The 21,366-nt window shown below is 49.2% G+C and overlaps 2 protein-coding genes and 1 non-coding gene across 5 annotated transcripts in view, besides 7 other annotated features; 1 reads left to right on the plus strand and 2 right to left on the minus strand.

Annotated features, from left to right (window-relative positions):
• On the minus strand, positions 1-3,938 carry TUFM (Tu translation elongation factor, mitochondrial). Of its 2 annotated transcripts, none has more exons than NM_001365360.2 (10): positions 3,808-3,938; positions 3,502-3,696; positions 2,904-3,070; positions 2,541-2,645; positions 2,288-2,452; positions 2,009-2,141; positions 1,904-1,924; positions 1,540-1,691; positions 1,326-1,445; positions 1-738 (listed from the first exon to the last, which is right to left on the minus strand). In NM_001365360.2, exons 1-10 carry the CDS (start codon positions 3,857-3,859, stop codon positions 565-567), a joined length of 1,284 nt encoding a protein of 427 aa, NP_001352289.1. In that variant the 5' UTR covers positions 3,860-3,938; the 3' UTR covers positions 1-564. The 2 variants fall into 2 exon arrangements, with proteins under 2 accessions (NP_001352289.1, NP_003312.3); NM_003321.5 differs by having other exon boundaries at positions 1,820-1,924.
• Positions 1,509-1,597, minus strand: MIR4721 (microRNA 4721). The gene has a single exon (NR_039872.1). It is a non-coding gene; the product is annotated as a microRNA 4721 (primary transcript).
• Positions 3,800-4,289: an enhancer, noted in NCBI's record as "active region_10645". NCBI's record gives its function as "activates an Ori minimal core promoter by ATAC-STARR-seq in GM12878 lymphoblastoid cells {active_cell/tissue: GM12878}" and the evidence as "EXISTENCE:reporter gene assay evidence [ECO:0000049][PMID:35858748]".
• The window catches only part of SH2B1 (SH2B adaptor protein 1), a 27,600-nt gene continuing 10,429 nt past the window's right edge, over positions 4,196-21,366 (plus strand). The window contains exons 1-3 of one of the 2 annotated variants that reach the window (NM_001308293.2): positions 4,196-4,417; positions 19,208-19,337; positions 21,258-21,344. The gene's annotated coding sequence lies outside the window, so the exon portion shown is untranslated. The remainder of the gene's footprint in view (positions 4,418-19,207; positions 19,338-21,257; positions 21,345-21,366) is intronic. The other variant, NM_001387404.1, reaches the window with a different exon arrangement.
• Positions 7,685-7,885: a silencer, noted in NCBI's record as "peak2552 fragment used in MPRA reporter construct". NCBI's record gives its function as "represses an SCP1 promoter by STARR-seq MPRAs in K562 erythroleukemia cells {active_cell/tissue: K562}" and the evidence as "EXISTENCE:reporter gene assay evidence [ECO:0000049][PMID:32103011]".
• Positions 20,508-20,577: an enhancer, noted in NCBI's record as "active region_10646". NCBI's record gives its function as "activates an Ori minimal core promoter by ATAC-STARR-seq in GM12878 lymphoblastoid cells {active_cell/tissue: GM12878}" and the evidence as "EXISTENCE:reporter gene assay evidence [ECO:0000049][PMID:35858748]".
• Positions 20,858-21,152: an enhancer, noted in NCBI's record as "tiled region #4004; HepG2 Activating DNase unmatched - State 1:Tss, and K562 Activating DNase matched - State 1:Tss". NCBI's record gives its function as "activates a minimal TATA promoter and a strong SV40 promoter by Sharpr-MPRA in HepG2 cells, with weaker activation in K562 cells {active_cell/tissue: HepG2 | K562}" and the evidence as "EXISTENCE:reporter gene assay evidence [ECO:0000049][PMID:27701403]".
• Positions 20,858-21,366: part of a biological region, named in NCBI's record as "Sharpr-MPRA regulatory region 4004", that runs on past the window's edge.
• Positions 20,870-21,366: part of an enhancer, noted in NCBI's record as "H3K27ac-H3K4me1 hESC enhancer chr16:28874601-28875106 (GRCh37/hg19 assembly coordinates)", that runs on past the window's edge. NCBI's record gives its function as "activates a minimal SCP1, AML or CMV promoter by ChIP-STARR-seq in primed H9 embryonic stem cells {active_cell/tissue: H9 hESC(primed)}" and the evidence as "EXISTENCE:reporter gene assay evidence [ECO:0000049][PMID:30033119]".
• Positions 21,018-21,366: part of an enhancer, noted in NCBI's record as "active region_10647", that runs on past the window's edge. NCBI's record gives its function as "activates an Ori minimal core promoter by ATAC-STARR-seq in GM12878 lymphoblastoid cells {active_cell/tissue: GM12878}" and the evidence as "EXISTENCE:reporter gene assay evidence [ECO:0000049][PMID:35858748]".

Here is a 21,366-nt window from a genome sequence, read left to right on the forward strand (position 1 = left end):
AAATTTGTGACCTGCTTTATTGTGGTAGTCTGGAAGCAAACCTACAGCATCTGAGGTATGCCTGTCCAGTCCCTGTTCCCACAGAATGTGAATGGATGCTAGACATTCACTTAGTATTCCGAGGAAACAAGATGGGTTTGGCACCTGAGCTGAAGCCATGCTGGCTCCAGAGCGATAGAACATTCTTTCCCACTATCTCCCAGGAGGCTGAATAACGGCATCCTACTGTGTCTAGGCAATCACTAAGCTCACTGGACTTGATTTATCCGTTAAAACTGCTCTGGGATCTCACAAGCTCCCCATCTGTCTGGGGTTCAACACCCTTTTTGTCCTCCCCTATCCTCTCCAATTTGCACAAAGGACACAGGACACAGGCTGGCTTACTATTCAAAGTTTACTGACCTCCCCAGCCAGGCAGGCCAACCCTTCCGAGCAGGGGAAATGTCCATCTAGCTGCCCTCTGCTGGGTTGCAGCCTATGCCATGAGAGGGTACTGGAAGCAGGAGGGAGCCCTGGCTAGGGCAGGCCTTAAACGCAAGGGAAGCTGAGCAGAGATCTGCACACTCAACCCCATTTGATATTCTTCTCCTCCTCAGTCATGGCCAGCGTGTTGGTGACTAGACCGGTGCCAATAGTCCGGTTGCCATCTCGCAGGGTGAAACGCTGGCCTTTCTCTAAGATCATTGGCTGCCGCAAGATTAGGTTGAACTTCAGGTCCTCCCCGGGCATGGCAAGCTCCTAGAGTAGGAAGAGAAGGATCATGCGTGGCCTCCAGGGTGCCTTCATTCCTTAAGTCTTTTTTGGCTACCTCGGAGGTTAAGAGTCATGGGAGAATGCAGCAGGGGAATGGTTCTGCCTGGGGACAGCTTCATCCATCCCAGGCTGTCAGGCAGATGCAAACAGCATATTGAGACAGGAAAACATAAAAGAGACCAGTGATGAGTGTTCCTAAGGTATGTTCTTGAGAAAAAAATGTCTAGGAAGTTGTGGGTTATGCAGGTTTCTTGGTCACAGAACTTCTTAAGCCTTCATATATAATGAAACGCTCAAAAAGAAGAGACCTTTTCTAGGAAATCTTTCTGTGGGTACATGCTGGCAGAGCTAAACTTTTAACCTGCTTCAGCTTAGGGCACACTGGATGAGGACTCCCGCCCCTAAGTCCATGGGCCATGCCCCTTCTGTTGGCTAGCAGCGGCAAGCAGCCCCTTTCCACCTAAGGAAATAAAGCCACTCGGGTTGTCACAGTGTATCTTTGGAACTATGAGTGAAGCAAAGGTAATATAAAAAGTCCCCCCTCCACCCTACATTCCTCCCACCCACCGTACCTTCTCTGGGGGCAGGATAATCCGACAGGCCATGTCCCAAGTCAGGGAGAACATGACAGGCATGAAGTGGGACACAAAGGGCTTGTGGCGGCCACCTTCCTCCTTGCTGAGGATGTAAACCTGGAGGAGAGCAAGCAATGACGGTGAGCTGGGCTTGGCTGGAGGCTGGGGAGAGCTTGGCTCAACCCTGCCCACCGTCACCTGGAGCCCTCACCTGGGCCTCCACCTTCTGGTGGGGCTTGATGGAACCTGGCTTGACCATGACCAGGCCCCGCCGCAAGTCCTCCCGCTTCAAGCCTCGGACCAGGGCCCCGAGGTTATCTCCGGCCTCGGCCCTCTCCAGGCTCTTGTGGAACATCTCAATGCCTAGGACGGAAAGGGAAAAGGAGCAGGGAGAAGGAAGGCGAATGTGAGACAGAGGGAAGGCACAAGGGATCTGCCGGGGTAAGGCCACCCTTCAGCCAGGCCCTGCTCTCCAGACTGGCTTCCCAAACCTGTCACCACAGTGCGGATGTTCTTGCTATGTCCTAGGAGCTCACACTCGTCTCCCTTCTTTAAAATGCCACGCTCTAGTGTACCTGTCACCACGGTGCCACGGCCTGGGAGGGAATAAGACAGGATATCAGGGACCCCGAGCTAGGCTTCTGCTAGAGAGAGTGCGTGGGAACAGACAGAGTCCTCACCAGGGACGGAGTACACCGCCTCCACAGGCAGCAGGAAAGGCTTCTCCAGGTCCCGGGCGGGCACTGGGATGTAAGTGTCCACAGCATCCAGTAGCTTCTGCACAGACTTCAGGCCTAACTCAGGGTCCCGACCCTGTTGAGGGGAAGTGCCAGGACTCTGAAATCCCCATTCTACTTCCCTCGATTATCAAGAGCCACTTCCCAGACACAAAGCAGAGCTCTGGGTGCCCATCCAGCCCCACCCTCTGCAGCAGCTGCCCTGCCTGACCCCGCGTTCACCTCAAGGGCACAGAGAGCAGAGCCTACGATGACTGGGGTCTCCTCCCCTTTATAGCCAAACTCGGTGAGCAGCTCCCGGATCTCCAGTTCCACCAGTTCCACCATCTCAGAGTCCTGGACAGCGTCAGCCTTGTTCACATACACCACCACATGCTCCACCCCAATCTGTAGATGCCAGAGAGACAGGGACAATATACAGAGGGGCCCAACTCCCCACTCTTCCCTTTTGCATCCTTACCCAGGCTCTGAGTACCTGTCTGGCCAGTAATAAGTGCTCTCGGGTCTGGGGCATGGGGCCGTCATTGGCTGCTACCACCAGGATGCAGCCGTCGAGGGGTGCAGTGCCTGTGATCATATTCTGGAGAGGAGAAGGAAAGGAAACAGCCAAGTTCAACGAGCTCTTCAGTTCACATCCATATAGCCAAGTGTAGCAGTTAGAAACTCAGGCCCACCTTTCTCTACCATCTCCTCACCACCCATTCTGCGTGGCCAAGACCACAAACCTGCCATCTCATACCCAAACACTGAATATCTTAATCTCCTCCCCACAAGCCTAACATTTATCCTGACAAGAGGCAGCTTCTGGCCCTGTCTCCAGTGTCCCAGCAACCCTCACCTTAACATAATCTGCATGACCCGGGCAGTCTGTGTGGGCGTAGTGGCGGGCGGCAGTGCTATACTCCACATGAGCCGCATTGATGGTGATACCCCGAGCTCGCTCCTCCGGGGCATTGTCAATCTCCTCGTACTTCTTGAACTTAGCCCCACCTCCCTCAGCTAGAACTAAAGGAGGAAAAGAACACACCTCTCAGCTAAAGTTCCAGTGCTAGAGGCAGAGCTTAGACCACGCCCCTGAACCCTCCCACCTAAATACATAACCTCCTCCAATCTCTAACTCTTCCAGCAGAGAGAACTGTGGGTCAGAAAGAAATGTTAGAGGGCCTTAAGGGTCTGCCCTGTGACTTCTTTAGGGTACAGCCTCTGCTTGCAGAGCATTCCCCACGACTTTGTGATCCCCAAGCCATTGGTGGATCACAAAGTTCTTCCTGTTCAGGAGAAATTTGTCTCTTGCATCTCCCAATCCACCTGTCGCACAAATTCGGGCTCTTGGGGCCACAGTAAACTCCTCCAGCAGACACTCTGCTGGCCTTGCCTCCCTGGCTCCAGGTCCCATCAGTAGATAGGGCGCTGCTGGACGCCCCAACCCCACTCACTCTTCGTGATGGCTGCAGTCAGCGTGGTCTTCCCGTGGTCCACATGGCCGATGGTACCCACATTCACATGTGGCTTGTCGCGCACGTAAGTCTTCTTGGCCTCCACGGCCAGGCCGCGGCACAAGAGAGGCAATGCCGGGGCTTTCAGCAGCCGCAACAGACCCTGCAGCAGGAAGGTCCGGCCGGCGGCGAGACCTGCCGGGACCGAAGCTTGGAGTCAGGCAGGGAAGGGGTCAGACCGAACCCAGCCACCTACCACTCCCCCAAAGTGTTCCTGGGCCGCCATCGCCCTCCCTGACCACTCACCGCTGAAGTGGGGCGTCGCGCGCAGCAGGGTGGCGGCCGCCATTGTGGTCATACTCGCGCCCCGGTAACCGGGGAGCCGGGACCAGGAGCCCGAGCGCACAGAAGAAGAAGGGCGCCTGCGGCTGGAAGGCACTTCCGGCGGAAGTTAGAGCTGGGAGGGCAAGTCCGGGCCCCTCTAGCCGCCAGTGTCTATGGCCGTCTCAGCCGACGTCGGGCGCGCGGCTGAAGACGTCATGGAGGGGGCTGGTGTCTCGAGGGCGGAGTATGATGGAGAGGTTTTCCACCACTCGCGCCTCTCGGGCTGAGGGGCAACGTAGTTCTCTCTGGCGGTCGCAGGGGGCACTGAGGAGCGTCCCCTAAATCACCGGCGCCGCGAAGGCTCATGGGCGTAGTAGTTCTCAGGTCGGCGGGCTGTGGAGGTGATCAGAGTGGGAGTCAGGCGGGCTAGGCCGGACCCGGAGGGAGGGGCTCGGGCTCCGGGAGGCAGCTGCGGCTCCGACTGCTCAGGAACCTCCTCCTGGGCCCGGCAGAGAGAGACCCCGAGTCCCCCGGAGTCCGACTCGCTACGCGGGTCTTGCGAGATATCTGGCCGCCTCTGCCGCAGCTGGAGGTAGGGGACCAGGTCCTGGACGCCTTTCGGGGATGGGGTGAAGTGTGACCTCCCTCTTCGCTGAGACTTTGTTTTCTAATCTGTAAAATGGGAATAGTAGTATCCACTTCATAGGGAGAGCCTGACATCTAGCCCTGAGAGGAGATGAACTGGGTAGGAGTCAGTGTTGGGCCCTGTGAGGTCAGGCAGCTTGCGGGGACCCTGTACTGCTAGACCTCACAGGGCCAGAGCCCACAAGACAGACAGCTTCGCTGCCCACCCCTGTAGTCCCTCAGCAGCCTAAGGAGCAGTTCCGTTGGGCATCGCCCCACCCATCTAATTTTGCAGATGAGGAGCCAAGGATGAGGAGCCAGCTAGGGGAGCCTTTAAGGGGAGCCTGAGTCTCCTTTAATCTGTCGGTGTCCCCAGCACCTAACAGGGTGGAGCATGCAGTGAATGTTGAATGAATGGGTGCAAGGGTAGTCAATGTCCCTTAACTTTCACATCCATCATCTCATGGCAGCTTCCACAGGGCACTCCAAAGTGTTAATTATGGCTGCTTAACCCTGGCTAATGTTTCGGAACTCATCAGATCCTGAGACTCAGTGGACAGTGTTTGTTTCAAATAGATTCCCTAATTCCTCCCCTGGAGGTTATGATTCCGTGGGGTCTATGCACAGACTGGGAAGCTATATAACAAACACTCTTCTAAAACTGAGAAGAGGCTGGGCACGGTGGCTATAGTGCCAGCCTATAGTCCCAGCAGTTTGGGAGGCTGAGGTGGGAGGACGGTTTGAAGCCAGGAGTTCAAGACCAGCCTGGGCAGATTAGGAGACCCTATCTCTACAAAAAAAAATTTAAAATTAGCCAGGCACAGTAGCATGCAGCTATAGCCCCTCCTACTCAGGAGGCCGAGGCAGGAGGATCGCCTGAGCTCAGGAGTTCAAGGCTGTGGTGAGGTATGATCATGACACTGCACCCCACCGTGAGTGACAGAGAAAGACCCCATCTTTTTTTTTTTTTTTTTTTTTTTTTTGGAGACAGAGTCTCACTCTGTCGCCCAGGCTGGAGTGCAATGGGGCGATCTCGGCTCACTGCAACCTCCACCTCCTGGGTTGAAGCAATTCTCCCACCTCAGCCTCCTGAGTAGCTGGGACTACAGGCATGTGCCACCACGCCTGGCTAATTTTAGTATTTTTAGTACAGATGGGGTTTCACCTCGTTGGCCAGACGGCTCTCGAACTCCAGACCTCAAGTGATCCGCCCATTGTGGCCTCCCAAAGTGCTGGGACTACAGGCGTGAGCTACCACGCTCAGCCAAGAAAGACCCCATCTCTATAAAAATATTTTGGCCAGGCGTGGTGGCTCACACCTGTAATCCTAGCACTTTGGGAGGCCGGGCGGGTGGATTGCTTGAGTTCAGGAGTTCGAGAACAGCCTGGGCAACACGGTGAAACTCTGTCTCTACTAAAATACAAAAAATTAGCTGGGCGTGGCAGTGTGCACCTGTAGTACCAGCTACTCAGGAGGCTGAGGCAGGATAATTGTTTGCACCCGGGAGGCGGAGCTTGCAGTGAGCTGAGATGGTGCCACTGCACTCCACCCTGGGCGACACAGCGAGACTCCGTCTCCAAAAAAAAAAATTTTTTTTCAAATGAAAACTCAGAGGAGTTTAGGAAACTCTGAACTAGAGCTTTATGATGTTCAGGCATTCCTATTGTTTCACAATCAGCGCTCCCAGTGCTACCCTGGGTAGTAGGAACTATTATTTCCTCCATTTTGCAGGTGTGAAAACTGACGGTCAGGGTGATTAAGGAATCCACCACCACTAAACCCCAAAAAGTGTGCACACCGCACTGTCCTTTTTTTTTTTTTTTTTTTTTTGAGACAGAGTCACACTCTGTTGCCCAGCTGGAGTGCAGTGACACGATCTCGGCTCACTGCAACCTCCATCTCCCAGGTTCAAGCGATTCTCCTGCCTCAGCCTCCCGAGTAGCTGGGATTACAGGCGCCTGCCACCACGCCCAGCTAATTTTTGTATTTTTAATAGAGACGGGGTTTCACCATATTGGCCAGGCTGGTCTTGAACTCCTGACCTCAAGTGATCCACCCACCTTGGCCTCCCAAAATGCTGGGATTATAGGTGTGAGCCACCATGCCCAGCCAGACTGTACTATAATTTAACTCTCATTTTACTGCTCAGATAAAGTGAGGAACTTGCTAAGACTTCTCTCTTCCTGGCCCTCCAGTTAATCAGTTCTGCTTAGGAAAGGCTGGTATCATGTGTAGTATAAACAGATTTTGTTTTTGTTTTTTTGACAGAGCCTTGCTGGGTCTCCTAGGCTGGAGCATAGTAGGGCAGTCACAGCTCACTGCAGCTTCAGCCTCCCAAGCTCAATCTACCTCAGCCTCCCAAATAGCTGGGATTACAAGCATACACCACCACACCTGGCTAATTTTTGTATTTTTTGTAGAGATGGGGTTTCGCCATGTTGGCCAGGCTGGTCTCCCAATACCGGGGCCCAAGCCGTCTGCCCACCTTGGCCTCTCAAAATGCTGGGATTACAGGCATGAGCCACTGTGCCCAGCCTAAAAGGGTTTTCTGTTTCTACTCTGTACCTAAGTCACTGTACTCCTAGGAATTTATCCTAAGACACTATTGGCCACTAGCAAGTTATGAGTTTTTGGGGGTGGTATTTGAATTAATGGTTTATATTTTTGTGGTGCTATATTTATTTTAATGTGTATTAGCTTGAAAAAAAACTGGCATAATAATCAAGTTTTTAAAAAAACAGATCAACTTAAAAGAATATTGTTTGGTAGATAATATTATGGATGCACTGGGCACAATGGCTCACACCTATAATCCCAGCACTTTGGGAGGTCGAGGCAGGCGGATCACTTGAGGCCAGGAGTTCGAGACCAGCCTGGCCAACATGGTGAAATCCCGTCTTTACTAAAAATACAAAATTACCTGGGCATGGTGCACGCCTGTAGTCTCAGCTACTCAGGAGGCTGAAGCAGGAGAATCGCTTGAACCCAGGAGGCGGAGGTTGCAGTGAGCCGATATCACGCCATTGTACTCCAGCCTGGGTGACAGAGCGAGACTCTGTCTCAAAAATAAAATAAAAACTATTATGTGTGGTATGAATATATGGCAAATTTTTTGGAAGGTAGTGAATGAATGGCTAGAGTTTGAGAAACACGGTGTTCGGAAAAGAGCCCAGAGAAAATTTTTTCTAGAGCTGTTGACCGTAGCATCCTCTGTATTAGTGAATGGCTCAGTCAGAAGTCTTGACTTACAGATAACAGATTTTACATTGGCTGGCTTAAGCAGAGGAGGGATTTGTTAAGGGTATTAGGCAGCTTACAGAATTGTGGGGCAAACTGGAGAACTAATTCCAAGCCATAGAACTGATTTGACCTGATAAGAAAACTGCTGTTACTGTCACTACCATCAAATGCTACATGCCAGGATATCAACTCGTCTGTTATAGCTACTGCCGGGGGCACTGAAACCACTTCTGCTATTGCTTGAGACCAGGAGTTCGAGACCAGCCTGGGCAAAATAGTGAGACCTTGTCTCTACAAACATAAAAATAAAAAAATTTGCCAGATATGGCAGCACATGCTTGTATAATCCCAGTTACTGGGGAGGCTGAGACAGGAAGATCACTTGAACCCAGGAGTTTGAGGCTGCAGTGAGCAATGATAGCACCACTGCACTCCAGCCTGTGTGACAGTGCCAGACCACGTCTCTAAAACAAAAAGGGCCAGGTGTGGTGGCTCACGCCTGTAATCCCAGAACTTTGGGACGCTAAGGTGGGCGGATCATGAGGTCAGGAGATCAAGACCATCATGGCTAATATGGTGAAACCCCACCTCTACTAAAAATACAAAAAATTAGCCAGGAGTGGTGGCACGTGCCTGTAGTCCCAGCTACTTGGGAGGCTGAAACAGGAGAATCGCTTGAACCCAGGAGGCAGAGGTTGCAGTGAGCCGAGAGTGCGCCACTGCACTCCAGCCTGGGCGACAGAGTGAGCGAGACTCCATCTGAAAAAAAAAAAAAAAAAGGAAATTAAAAAGGGCCGGACGTGGTGGCTCATGCCTGTAATCCCAGCACTTTGGGAGGCCAAGGCAGGTGGGTCACGAGGTCAAGAGATTGAGACCATCCTGGCCAATATGGTGAAACCCGTCTCTACTAAAAAAATACAAAAATTAGCTGGGCATGGTGGCGCTTGCCTGTAGTCCCAGCTACTCGGGAGGCTGAGGTGGGAGACTCGCTCGAACCTGGGAGGTGGAGGTTGCAGTGTGCCGAGATTGCGCCACTGCACTCCAGCCTGCCGACAGAGCAAGACTCTGTCTCAAAAAGAAAAAAAAAAAAACCAACCTATCCAAAACAGGACTCTCCACTTCCTCTCACTCTCCTTATACATCTGAACGTGGGGCACCACTGTTCTCCCCTCCCCTCTCCCCACACCTACGCTCCTCCCCAGTTCTGATTCTCCAAATGGAATCCCCAGTGTGACCCCACGTTTTACTATGTCCTCTGTCAACACTGTGGTTCAATTGGGATCATCTCTCATCCAGGTTACCTCAGGAGCTCTCCAGTGGGTCTCCTGGCTTCTGTTCTCATTCCCAACGCCTTTCTTCTTTTTTTTTTTTTTTTCCAAGATGGAGTCTTGCTCTGTCACCCAGGCTGGAGTGCAATGGCACAATCTTGGCTTACTGTAACCTCCGCCTCCCGGGTTAAAGCGATTCTCCTCCTGCCTCACCCTCCCAAGTAGCTGGGATTCCAGGCGCCTGCCACCACGCCCAGGTAATTTTTTTGTATTTTTAGTAGAGATGGAGTTTCACCATGTTGGCCAGGCTGGTCTCGAACTCCTGACCTTGTGATCCACCCGCCTCAGCCTCCCAAAATGCTGGGATTATAGGCATGAGCCACCGCGCCTGGCCTTTTTTAAAAAAAATACATATATTGGCCAGGCATGGTGCCTCACGCCTGTAATCCCAGCACTTTGGGAGGCCGAGGCAGGTGGATCACGAGGTCAGGAGTTCGAGACCAGTCTGACCAACATGGTGAAACTCCGTCTCTATTAAAAATACAAAAAATAGTTGGGCATGGTGGTGCGCACCTGTGGTCCCAGCTACTCAGGAGGCTGAGGCAGAAGAATCGCTTGAACCCAGGAGGCGGAGGTTGCAGTGAGCCGAGATTGTGCCACTGCACTCCAACCTGGGCGACAGAGTGAGACTCTGTCTCAAAAAAAAGAAAAAAGAAATTTAAAAAAAAGAGTAAAGAAAAAGGCCACTTCTCTAATATGCAGGGAATAAACTATGAGTGAATAAACTATGAGCAAGACTCCGTATCCAAAAATATATATATTTTTATTTATATATTTACATATATATATTTACATATATATTTACATATATATATTTACATATATATATTTACATATATATATTTACATATATATATTTACATATATATATTTACATATATATATTTACATATATATATTTACATATATATTTACATATATATTTATATATATATTTATATATATTTACATATATTTATATATATACATATATATTTACATATATATTTATATATTTACATATATATTTATATATATATTTACATATATATTTATATATATACATATATATTTATATATACATACATATATTTATATATATACACATATATTTATATATATACACATATATTTATATATATACACATATTTATATATATACACATATATATTTATATATATACACATATATATTTATATATATACACATATATATTTATATATATACACATATATATTTATATATATACACATATATATTTATATATATATTTACATATATATTTATATATATACATATATATTTACATATATATTTATATATATACATATATATATTTACATATATATGTATATATATATTTATATATATATTTACATATATATTTACATATATATTTACATATATTTACATATATATTTATATATATATACATATATATATTTTTATATATATTTACATATATATTTTTATATATATTTACATATATTTTTATATATACATGTACATATATATATTTTTATATATATGTACATATATATTTTATATATGTACATATATATGTACATATATATTTTATATGTACATATATATGTACATATATATTTATATATGTACATATATATGTACATATATATTTATATATGTACATATATATGTACATATATATTTATATATATTTATACATATATATTTATATATACATTTATATATATTTATGTATACATTTATATAAATATATATAAATGTATATATAAATATATATATATTTTTTGGGTACGGAGTCTTGCTCATATATATATATAAAAATGTATATATAAATATATATATATATATGCACACACACATACATATATTGGCTGGGCACTGCAACCTGCAACCTCTGCCTGCCAGGTTGAAGCAATTCTGCCTCAGCCTCACAAGTAGCTGGGATTACAGGCGTGTGCCACCATGCCCAGCTAATTTTTTGTAGTTTTAGTGGAGACGAGGTTTCACCATTCTGGCCAGGCTGGTCTCGAACTCCTGACCTCATGATCCGCCCACTTCAGCCTCCCAAAGTGCTGAGATTACAGGCATGAGCCACTACGCCCAGCGCCCACCCACCCCACTTTTTCTTTTTTTTTTTTTTGTAGAGACGGGGTCTCCCTATGTTGCCCAGGCTAGTCTCAAATTTCTGGCTCAAGCAATCCTCCCACTTTAGCTTCCTGAAATGCTGGGATTTCAGGTGTGAACCATCACGCCCAGCCCCCAATACCTTTCACATCCATTCTCCGTGCAGCAGCCAGATCAGTCTTTAAAATGTGCCTCGAAGCTGGGTGCGGTGGCTCATGCCTGTAATCCCAGCACTTTGGGAGGCCAAGGCGGGCGGATCACAAGGTCAGGAGTTTGAGACCATCCTGGCTAACACGGTGAAACCCCATCTCTACTAAAATACAAAAAAAATTAGCCGGGCGTAGGTGGTGCACGCCTGTAGTCCCAGCTACTCGGGAGGCTGAGACAGGAGAATGGCGTAAAACCCGGGAGGTGGAGCTTGCAGTGAGCCAAGATCGCACCACTGCACTCCAGACTGGGAGACAGAGTGAGACTAGGTCTCAAAAAAAAAAAAAAAAAAAAAAAAAAAGTGCATCATCTCAGAACTTTGTGAGGCCAAGGTAGGAAGATAGCTTGAGCCCAGGAGTTTCAAGACTAGCCTGGGCAATGTAGTGAGACTCCATCTCTACAAAAAATTTGAAAAATTAGCAGGGCATGGTGGCAAGCACCTGTAGTTCCAGCTCTGTGGGAGGCTGGGGTGGGAGGATCACTTGATCACTTGAGCCCAGGAGGTCGAGGCTGCAATGAGCCGTGATCACACCACTGCATTTCAGCATGGGTGACAGAGCAAGACCCTGTCTTAACAAAAATAATAATATAAATAAAATATTGACCATAAATGAACCCTCCCTAAATGACTCCTCACTGCACTTGGAATAAAATCCAAATTCCTACTTTAAATGGGCGATTTGTATCTCAATCATGGTAGGTGAATTATATCTCAATAAAGCTGTTATTAAAAAAATAATAAGGCCAAGTATGGTGGCTCATGCCTGTATGTAATCCCAGCACTTTAGGAGGCCGAGGAGGGTGGATTGCTTGAGCCCAAGAGTTTGAGACCAGCCTGGGCAACATGGCAAGAACCCGTCTCTACAAGAAATAGAAAAATTAGCTGGGCATGGTAGTGCACCCCTGGAGTCCCAACTACTTGGAAGGCTGAGGCAGGAGGATCAATTCAGCCTGGGAGTTCAAGGTTGCATTGAGCTGTGCTCAAGCCACTGCACTTTTGCCTGGGTAACAGAACGAGACCCTGTCTCAAAATAATAACGACAATAATAATAAAATTCTCCGTGTGTCCCACAAGGCCTGCATAATCTGGCCAGCTCTTTGAACCCATGTAGTTCATTTTCCTCACTCCCCTGGCTGCACTAGCCCTTCATTTTTGTTTTTGTTTTGAGACAGAGTCTCGTTCTGTCGCCCAGGCTGGAGTGCAGTGGCACAATCTCGGCTCACTGCAACCTCCATCTCCTGGGTTCAAGCGATTCTCCTGCCTCAGCCTCCTGAGTAGCTAGGATTACAGATGACCACTACCACACCCTGCTAATTTTTGTATTTTTAGTAGACAGGGTATCACCATGTTGGCCAGGCTGGTCTCGAACTCCTGACTTCGGGTGATCTGCCCACCTTGGCCTCTGAAGGTGCTGGGTGCCTTACAAGTGTGAGACACCATGCCTTTCCCACACTGGCCCCCCACTTTCGTTTTGCAAACATTCCATGATTGTTTCTTTTTTTAATTGTTGAGACAGAATCTCACTCTATCACCCAGGCTGGAGTGCAATGGTGTGATCTCGGCTCATTGCAACCTCCACCTCCTGGGTTCAAGCAATACTCATGCCTCAGCTTCCCAAGTAGCTGGGATTACAGGCAAGTGCCACCACACCCGACTAATTTTTTATTTTTAGTAAAGACGAGGGGTTTCACCATGTTGGCCAGGCTGGCCTCAAACTCCTGGCCTCGAGTGATCTGCCCGTCTCTGCCTCCCAAATTGCTGGGAGTACAGGCATGAGCCACCGCGCCCGGCCCCCATGATTGTTTCTACCTTGATTTTCTTCATAGCATCTAAATGCCCAAAATTATCTTACTATTTTGCTTGTTTTCTTCCCATCTCACCAGCTCGTGGCACTAAGAACTTATTTATTTATTTATTTATTTTTTTTTTGAGACAGAGTCTTGTTCTGTCGCCCGGGCTGGAGTGCAGTGGAGCGATCTCCGCTCACTGCAAGCTCCGTCTCCTGGGTTCATGCCATTCTCCTGCCTCCGCCTCCGGAGTAGCTGGGACTACAGGCGCCCGCCAGCACGCCCGGCTAATTTTTTTTTTTTTTTTTTTTTTGGATTTTTAGTAGAGATGGGGTTTCACTGTGTTGGCCAGGATGGTCTCGATCTCCTGACCTCGTGATCCGCCGACCTCGTGATCCGCCTGCCTCGGCCTCCCAAAGTGCTGGGATTACAGGTGTGAGCCACCGCGCCCAGCCTTTTTTACTCTTAAGAACAATGCCGGCCAGGCGTGGTGGCTCACACTTGTAATCCCAGCACTTTGGGACACCGAGGTGGATGAATCACGAGGTCAGGAGTTAAAGACCAGCCTGGCCAACCCCATCTGTACTAAAAATACAAAAAAAAAAAAAATAGCTGTGGGGTGGTGGTGGGTGCCTGTAATCCCAGCTACTAGGGAGGCTGAGGCAGGAGAATCACTTGAATCCGGAGGTGGACATTGCAGTGAGCCCAGATCACGCCACTGCACTCCAGCCCAGGGGACCGTGCAAGACTCCATCTCAAAAAAAAAAAAAAAAACCACACACACACAAAAAAGTGCCTAATACTTAAGTGAATCAGTATTTGTTGGAGGATTTATTGAATCATTTCAATTGAGCATTTGCATTGGGCTTAGTAAGTTTCCTGAGGTTTTCAATGGAAAGCAAATTTTATATTCACATTCATTTTTATAAATAAAGATGGGTCACTGTACCTTCTTGGCCCTCAGCTTCATTATCTACAAATTGGGGGTGGAGGTTAAATCATATGATGATCTCTAAGATTTCTTGTAGCTCTAAAACTTCTAAGAGGAGGATGGGGTCTGGTGCAATGGAAATGAGTACTGGGCTAGCCAGGAACTTAGTGGCACATTAAGGACTAGGTCCCAGCGCACTGTCCTTGGTGCCACTCTATAAATCCTTCCTCAGAGGAAGCTCAAGGGCATCCTTCACTCTTCACTCTTCCCACCAGCCAACTTGGCAGGACCTCCTGGGAAGTCTCTCTGGTTAAACCCCTTGGCACCAACCCCATTACATCGCCATAGCCAGGCCAGCATCAGCCCTCTTGTGGACCACTGCACCAACTTCTGCTCTGCCTCCTGCCTCCCCAAGTCCCTGCATGCCAACCCTGAGTGTGCTTCCAAACCCAGGGCTCCCGTCATACCCATGTCACTCTGATGTGATGGGAGACATCACAACTGGAAGCACTTGGTGAATGTCATACAAAAGCTACTAAGTAAAAGGTACTTGAGGCCAGCCCCAGTGGCTCACACCTGTAATCCCATCACTTTGGGAGGCCGAGGTGGGAGGATCACTTGAGGTCAGGAGTTCGAGACCAGCCTGGCCAACGTGGTGGAACCTCATCTGTACTAAAAATACAAAAATTAGCTGGACGCGGTGATGCACACCTGTAATCCCAGCTACTTGGGAGGCTAAGGCAGGAGGATTGCTTGAACCCGGGAGATGGAGGTTGCAGTGAACCGAGATTGCATCACTGCACTCCAGTCTGGGCAACAGAGTGACTCTGTCTCAAAAAAAAAAAAAAAGATAGTTGAGAGGTGGCCTAGGTGGACCAGCCATGCATGGCTTCCCAGAGGAGGCTACACTGTCCCCCATCAGGTTCAGCAGTTCACAAGAATGGCTCATAATGGGGAGTGGGGGCGGGGGGGTGAAAGGGCAAAAAATAATATAAATGTATTTATTACCACTGAACTGTACACTTAAAAATAGTAAAGATGTAAATTATACATGTATATTTTACTTAAATAAAAACAATGACTCATAGAATGCAGGAAAGCACTACACTTGGGATTACAGCTTTACAAAGAATACAAAGCAGGGCCAGCCAATGAAGAGACACACAGGGAGAGCTGGGACAGCAGGCCACCAAGCTCCTGTGCCCTCTCCCCTGTGGAAGCAGGGCACGTCACCTCCCAGCACATCAATGCATTTGCTGACCAGAACACCCACTGAGTTTCAGTGTCCGGAGTTCTTTTTTTTTTTTTTTTGAGACGGAGTCTCGCTCTGTTGCCCAGGCTGGAGTGCAGTGGCGCAATCTCGGCTCACTGCAAGCTCCGCCTCCTGGGTTCACGCCATTCTCCTGCCTCAGACTCCCGAGTAGCTGGGACTACAGGCGCCCACCACCACACCTGGCGAATTTTTGGTATTTTTAGTAGAGAGGGGGTTTCACTGTGTTAGCCAGGATGGTCTCGATCTCCTGACCTCGTGATCCGCCCACCTCAGCCTCCCAAAGTGCTGGGATTACAGGCGTGAGCCACCGCGCCCGGCCAGAGTTCTTATTAGTACATCACTGGCCATGTGATTGGTCTTACCCTTCAGGCCCCCTCCCCTCCCTGGGGGTTGGGCTGGCTCAAAATCCCAACCCTCTAATCACAAGGTTGGTCTTTCTGGTGACCAGGCCCTATCCTGAAGCTACTGAGGGCCTGCCATGAGTCACCTCATTAGCAAAAACTCAGGTGTTGGCTGGGCACAGTGGCTCACGCCTGTAATCCCAGCATTTTGGGAGGCAGGGGTAGGTGGCTCACCTGAGGTCAGGAGTTCGAGAGCAGCCTGGCCAACGTGGTGAAACCCTGTCTCTACTAAAAATACAAAGATTAGCTGGGTGTGGTGGCCCATGCCTGCAATCCCAGCTACTTGGGAAGTTGAGGTGGGAGAATGGCGTGAACCCGGGAGGAGGTGGAGGTTGCAGTAAGCCAAGATCGCGCCACTGCACTCCAGCCTGGGAGACAGTGAGACTCTGTCTCAAACAAAAAAACTCAGGTGTTACATAAGGAACTTCTGAGTAACAGACATTTCTATGACTCAGGAAATTCCAAGTGTTTTGGAAGCTCTATGCCAGGAACCTGGGACAAAGACCAGCCAAATTCTTTTCAAAATTTTATTTATTTGGCTGGGCATAGTGGCTCACACTTGTAATCCCAGCACTCTGGGAGGCCAAGTCGGGCAGATCACTTGAGGCTGGGAGTTCGGGACCAGCTTTGCTAACATGGTGAATCCCCATCTCTGCTAAAAATACAAAAATTAGCCAGGCCTGGTGGCGCACGCCTGTAATCTCAGCTATTCGGGAGGCTGAGGCATGAGAATCACTTGAATCCAGGAGGCAGAGTTTGCAGCTGGTGAGCTGAGATCATACCACTGCACTCCAGCCTGGGTGACACAGCAAGACTGTTTCTCAAAAAAAAAAAAAAAAAATCATTTATTTGGTTTTTTTTAGAGACAGGATCTTGCTGTGCATGATCTTGGCTCACTGCAACCTCTGCCTCCCTGGTTCAAGCCGTTCTCATGCCTTAGCCTCCCGAGTAGCTGGGATTACAGGCATGGACCACCCAACCTGGCTAATTTTTTTGTATTTGTTGTAGAGATGGGGTTTCACCATGTTGCCCAGGCTGGTCTTGAACTCCCAGCCTCGGGTGATTCGCCTGCCTCAGCCTCCTAATGTGTTGGGATTACAGGTGTGAGCCACCATGCCCAGCCTATTTATTTAAGTTTTATTTTAGGTTTGGGGATACATGTGAAGGTTTATCACATAGATAGACACCTGTCATGGGGGTTTGTTATACATGTCATCACTCAGGTATTAAGCCCAGTACCCAACAGATAAATTCCTTATTAAATGACAAAAGATCACTGGGCGATGAAAGCTGAGCTCATCAGACACCCCTGTTTTATTTGCTGTAGCTATTGGGAAAGCTATACTCTTTTTCTGCCAGGGTTGTTTAAGCTGGTAGAATGAGGCTTGGCTATTTTGCTACTTACGAGATGACAACCTCCCTGAGAATGAAGACAGTCCAGGGAGCCAGGCGTGGGTCATGCCTGTGGTCTCAGCTACTGGGGAGGCTGAGGTGAGAGGACTGCCTCAGCCCAGGAGTTCGAAGCTGCAGTAAGCTATGATTGTACCACTGCACTCCAGCCCAGGTGACAGAGCAAGACCCTGTATCAGGAAAAAAAAAAAGAGAGAGAGAAAAAGAAAGAAAGTCCAGGGAAAAGCAGAACTAAAAGAGACTGAGACCAAGTTCAAATCAACATTGTTTGAGCCTCTGGCTCCAGCCATGCCTGAAGTCATCCTATCTCTGATTTTTCAATTATTTAAACCAATAGACCCCCCCCCCCCGGCTGTTTTCATGTTTAAGTTAGCTGGAATTAGGGTTTCTAGTAGTTATAGCGGAAAGCATCCCGAGTTTTACATCCCTGCTTATGAGGAAGAAGGGTTTCTCCCCTTCATATTAATGCCTTGGCTTAACCTGGGCCCTGGATAACGTCCCCACCAACCTTCTCCGCAACCTTGCTCCTTCAGCGACCATCCTCTCTACTGATTCCTTTCCCCTTAATGTTTCCAACAAAATCAGATCTTCCTCAAGATAGAAACAAACAAGCAAACCTTTCTACCTTCTCACACTTACAACCTGCCTTATCTCTGTCCTCCCCTTTTCAGCCAAACTGTGTAGAACATCTCTCCACATTTTTCCTCCCACTTCTTGAATTTTTTTTTTTTTTTTTTTTACGATGGAGTCTTGCTCTGTCACCCAGGCTGGAATGCAGTGGCACGATCTTGGCTCACTGCGACCTCCACCTCCCAGGTTCAAGCGATTCTCCTGCCTCAGCCTCCCAAGTAGCTGGGATTACAGGTGCGTGCCACCACGCCTGGCTAATTTTAGTAGAGACAGGGTTTTGCCATGTTGGCCAGGCGGGTCTCAAACTCCTGACCTCAGGTGATCCGCCTGCCTTGGCCTCCCAAAGTGCTGGAATTACAGGCGGGAGCCACCGTGCCCAGCCTCCTCCCACTTCTTTACCTTCCACTCATTCCTCAAACCACTACCATTTGGCCTCTGCTGAAACTACTCTCACCAAGTCACGCAGCAGTCTCTTAGTTATCAATGCCTTCTAGAGACCATGGCAGCACACCCTGTGATCCCCCACGGATCCCTTTATATCATTTGTGTTTGTGTTTGCCCATTTCCCCCCGACACACACACATCTTATACTCACTCCCACACTCCCTGGTCTCTGGTATGTGATTTCTGTTCCAACAGTTAGGACTCCAGATTTGTTTTTTTTTTAATTTCTTGAGATGGAGTCTCGCTCTGTTGCCCAGTCTGGAGTGCAGTGGCATGATCTTGGCTCACTGCAACCTCCACCTCCCAGGTTCAAGCGATTCTCGTGCCTCAGCCTCCCAAGCAGCTGGGATTACAGGCACGCGCCACCACACGTGGCTAATTTTTTATATTTTTGGTAGAGATGAGGTTTCGCCATGTTGGCTAGGCTGGTCTCAAACTCCTGACCTCAAGTGATCTGCCCACCATAGCCTCCCAAAGTGCTGGGATTGATAACAGTGGGATTGATTACAGGACTGAGCCACCATGCCCAGCACTTTTTTGTTTTTTGAGATGGAGTCTCGCTCTGTTGCCCAGGCTGGAGTGCCGTGGGACGATTTTGGCTCACCACAGCCTCCGCCTCCCAGATTCAAGTGATTCTCCTGCCTCAGCCTCCTGAGTAGCTGAGATTACAGGTATGTGCCACCATGTCCAGCTAATTTTTGTATTTTTAGTAGAGGTGGGGTTTCACTATGTTGGCCAGGATGGTCTTGAACTCCTGAACTCATGATGCGCCCGCCTCAGCCTCCCAGTGTTGGGATTACAGGCGTGAGCCACTGCGCCCGGCCATCTTAGAACATTTTTTTTTTTGAGACGGAGTCTCGCTCTGTCGCCCAGGCTGGAGTGCAGTGGTGCGATCTCGGCTCACTGCAAGCTCTGCCTCCCAGGTTCACGCCATTCTCCTGCCTCAGCCTCCCCAGTAGCTGGGACTACAGGCACCCGCCACCACGCCTGGCTAATTTTTTTTGTATTTTTAGCAGAGATGGGGTTTCACCGTGTTAGCCAGGATGGTCTTGATCTCCTGACCTCATGATCCGCCTGTCTCGGCCTCCCAAAGTGCTGGGATTACAGGCGTGAGCCACTGTGCCCGGCCTTGAACATTCTTAGGTGAGTCAGGATTTATCCGTCTTCCCCTCTTGGGTTATTTATTTGTCTTCGAGTTCCAGGATGGGCACTTGATCCAATCAGCTACTCAGTTCTGGAAATTTCATTGGGAATCTCAGAAAAGAGGCATGCTCCTTCTAGGAGAGTTGCTAAGCTATTAGGGTTTAAGCTTGGAGCTACAAGAAGCTATTTTGCCACTAAGAGAGGAGAGCCTGCCTGAGGGTGAAGCCAAATGCATAGGGAAGGCAGAACCAGAGATGGTGAGCCACAGGTTCCTGATATCTTCTGGCCCCTGTGTTCACCTGTCTGAATCTGTCCGCTCTGGACTTTTCGATTACTTGGGCCATAGCTTCCTTTACTGTTTAGGCCAGCTGGAGCCGGGTCAATCAGACACTGGATGGGTGGAGGATCTCACTGTGCTCATGCTTTCAACTACCCTCCGTACTTTAATTGTTCTCGATTTCTCTAACTGGCCTTGATGTCTCTTCTTAGCTCCAGACTATATGCCCACAGACGTCCCAAAAGCACGTCTGGAATTGACCTCATTATTATTATTGTTATTATTTTTGAGATGGAGTCTCGCTCTTTTGCCCAGGCTGGATTGCAGTGGCGCAGTCTTGGCTCACTGCAACTTCCGACTCTGGGGTTCAAGTGATTCTTCTGCCTCAGCCTCCTCTCAAGTAGCTGGGAGTACAGGCGCCTGCCACCAAGCCCGGCTAAAATTTTTGTATTTTTATTGCAGATGGGGTTTCACCATGTTGGTCAGGCTGGTCTCAAACTCCTGACCTCAAGTGATCCGCCCGCCTCGGCCTCCCAAAGTGCTGGGATTACAGGCGTGAGCCACTGCGTCCGGCCTTGACCTCAATTCTTTTTTTTTTTTTTTTTTTTTGATAGGGAGTCTAGCTCTGTTGCCCGCGCTGGAGTGCCGTGGCGCCATCTCGGCTCACCGCAACCTCTGCCTCCCGGGTTCAAGCTGTTCTCCTGCCTCGGTCTCCCAAGGGGCTGGGATTACAGGCGCCTGCCACCACGCCCGGCTAAATTTTTTGTATTTTTAGTACAGACGGGGTTTCACCATGTTGGTCAGGCTGGTCTCAAACTCCTGACCTCAAGCCATCCGCCCGCCTCGGCCTCCCAAAGGGCTGGGATTACAGGCGTGAGCCAGCGCTCCCGGCCCTGACCTCATTTTTTTTTTTTCTATTTTTAAAATAGGGATTCTAGTTCTGTTGCCTGGGCTGGAGTGCCGTGGCGCCATCTCGGCTCACCGCAATCTCTGCCTTCCGGATTCAAGCTATTCTCTTGCCTCTGCCTCCGGAGGGACTGGGACTACAGGCGCGCGCCACCATGCCCGGCTAATTTTTGTATTTTTAGTAGAGACGGGGTTTCACCATGTTGGCCAGGCTGGTCTCGAACTCCTGACCTCAGGTGATCCACCTGCCTCGGCCTTCCGAAGTGCTGGGATTACAGGCATGAGCCACTGCGCCCGGCCCTGACCTCATTATTTCTACCCACCCCCTCCCCCACCACTACCACCATCTTCATCTCCAGCCTCAGAGATGCAAACTCCTGGACCGCCTGCCCCTTTCCTCAGATAAACCAAGGTCGTAAGTTCAGGCTCCGCCTCCCCGCAGGGCCTCCCCAAGGTCACCCGCTTCTTTCCTCGCTCAGCTCCTTGGTGGCGTTGTCCGCGTGCCCCTCCACAGCGGGGCCGGCGCTCTAGGCTGCAGCGGGCCGTTCACACAGCCTCATCATCTCGCTGGTTTCCGGTGCTCGGCGGCTACTCTAGCCCTCAGCCGGGCCCTGGGACTCTATCCCCTAAGGCCGGTTCTCTATGGTCGACATCGCCCCTTTGTCCCGAATTTCCTCCGGGAGGACGCTCTGGTGGGATCCAAGCACTTCCCCCGCTGCGTCTGTGGTCGCTTTTAGGTGCAACTGGAGAAGGCACTGAAGCCCTACGAGATTCACACCGTCTTCGGTCTCCTGGGGTCGGCGCCGAGTGGGAGGATGGCGGAAGTAAGTATGAAGGTGCCCTTCC

Source organism: Homo sapiens, chromosome 16 (assembly GCF_000001405.40).
Source record: "Homo sapiens chromosome 16, GRCh38.p14 Primary Assembly".
In the NCBI taxonomy this organism is placed as follows: domain Eukaryota; kingdom Metazoa; phylum Chordata; class Mammalia; order Primates; family Hominidae; genus Homo; species Homo sapiens.

Bases quoted from the DNA above. Each gene is read 5' to 3' on its own strand.
- TUFM (NM_003321.5), bottom strand. From the start codon at position 3,859: ATGACCACAATGGCGGCCGCCACCCTGCTGCGCGCGACGCCCCACTTC. The intron at 3,071-3,501 runs GTGAGTGGGGTT...TTCCTCCTTTAG, and splicing joins GACTGCAGCCATCACGAAGA to TTCTAGCTGAGGGAGGTGGG. The intron at 1,446-1,539 runs GTGAGGGCTCCA...GCTCTCCTCCAG, and splicing joins ACCAGAAGGTGGAGGCCCAG to GTTTACATCCTCAGCAAGGA.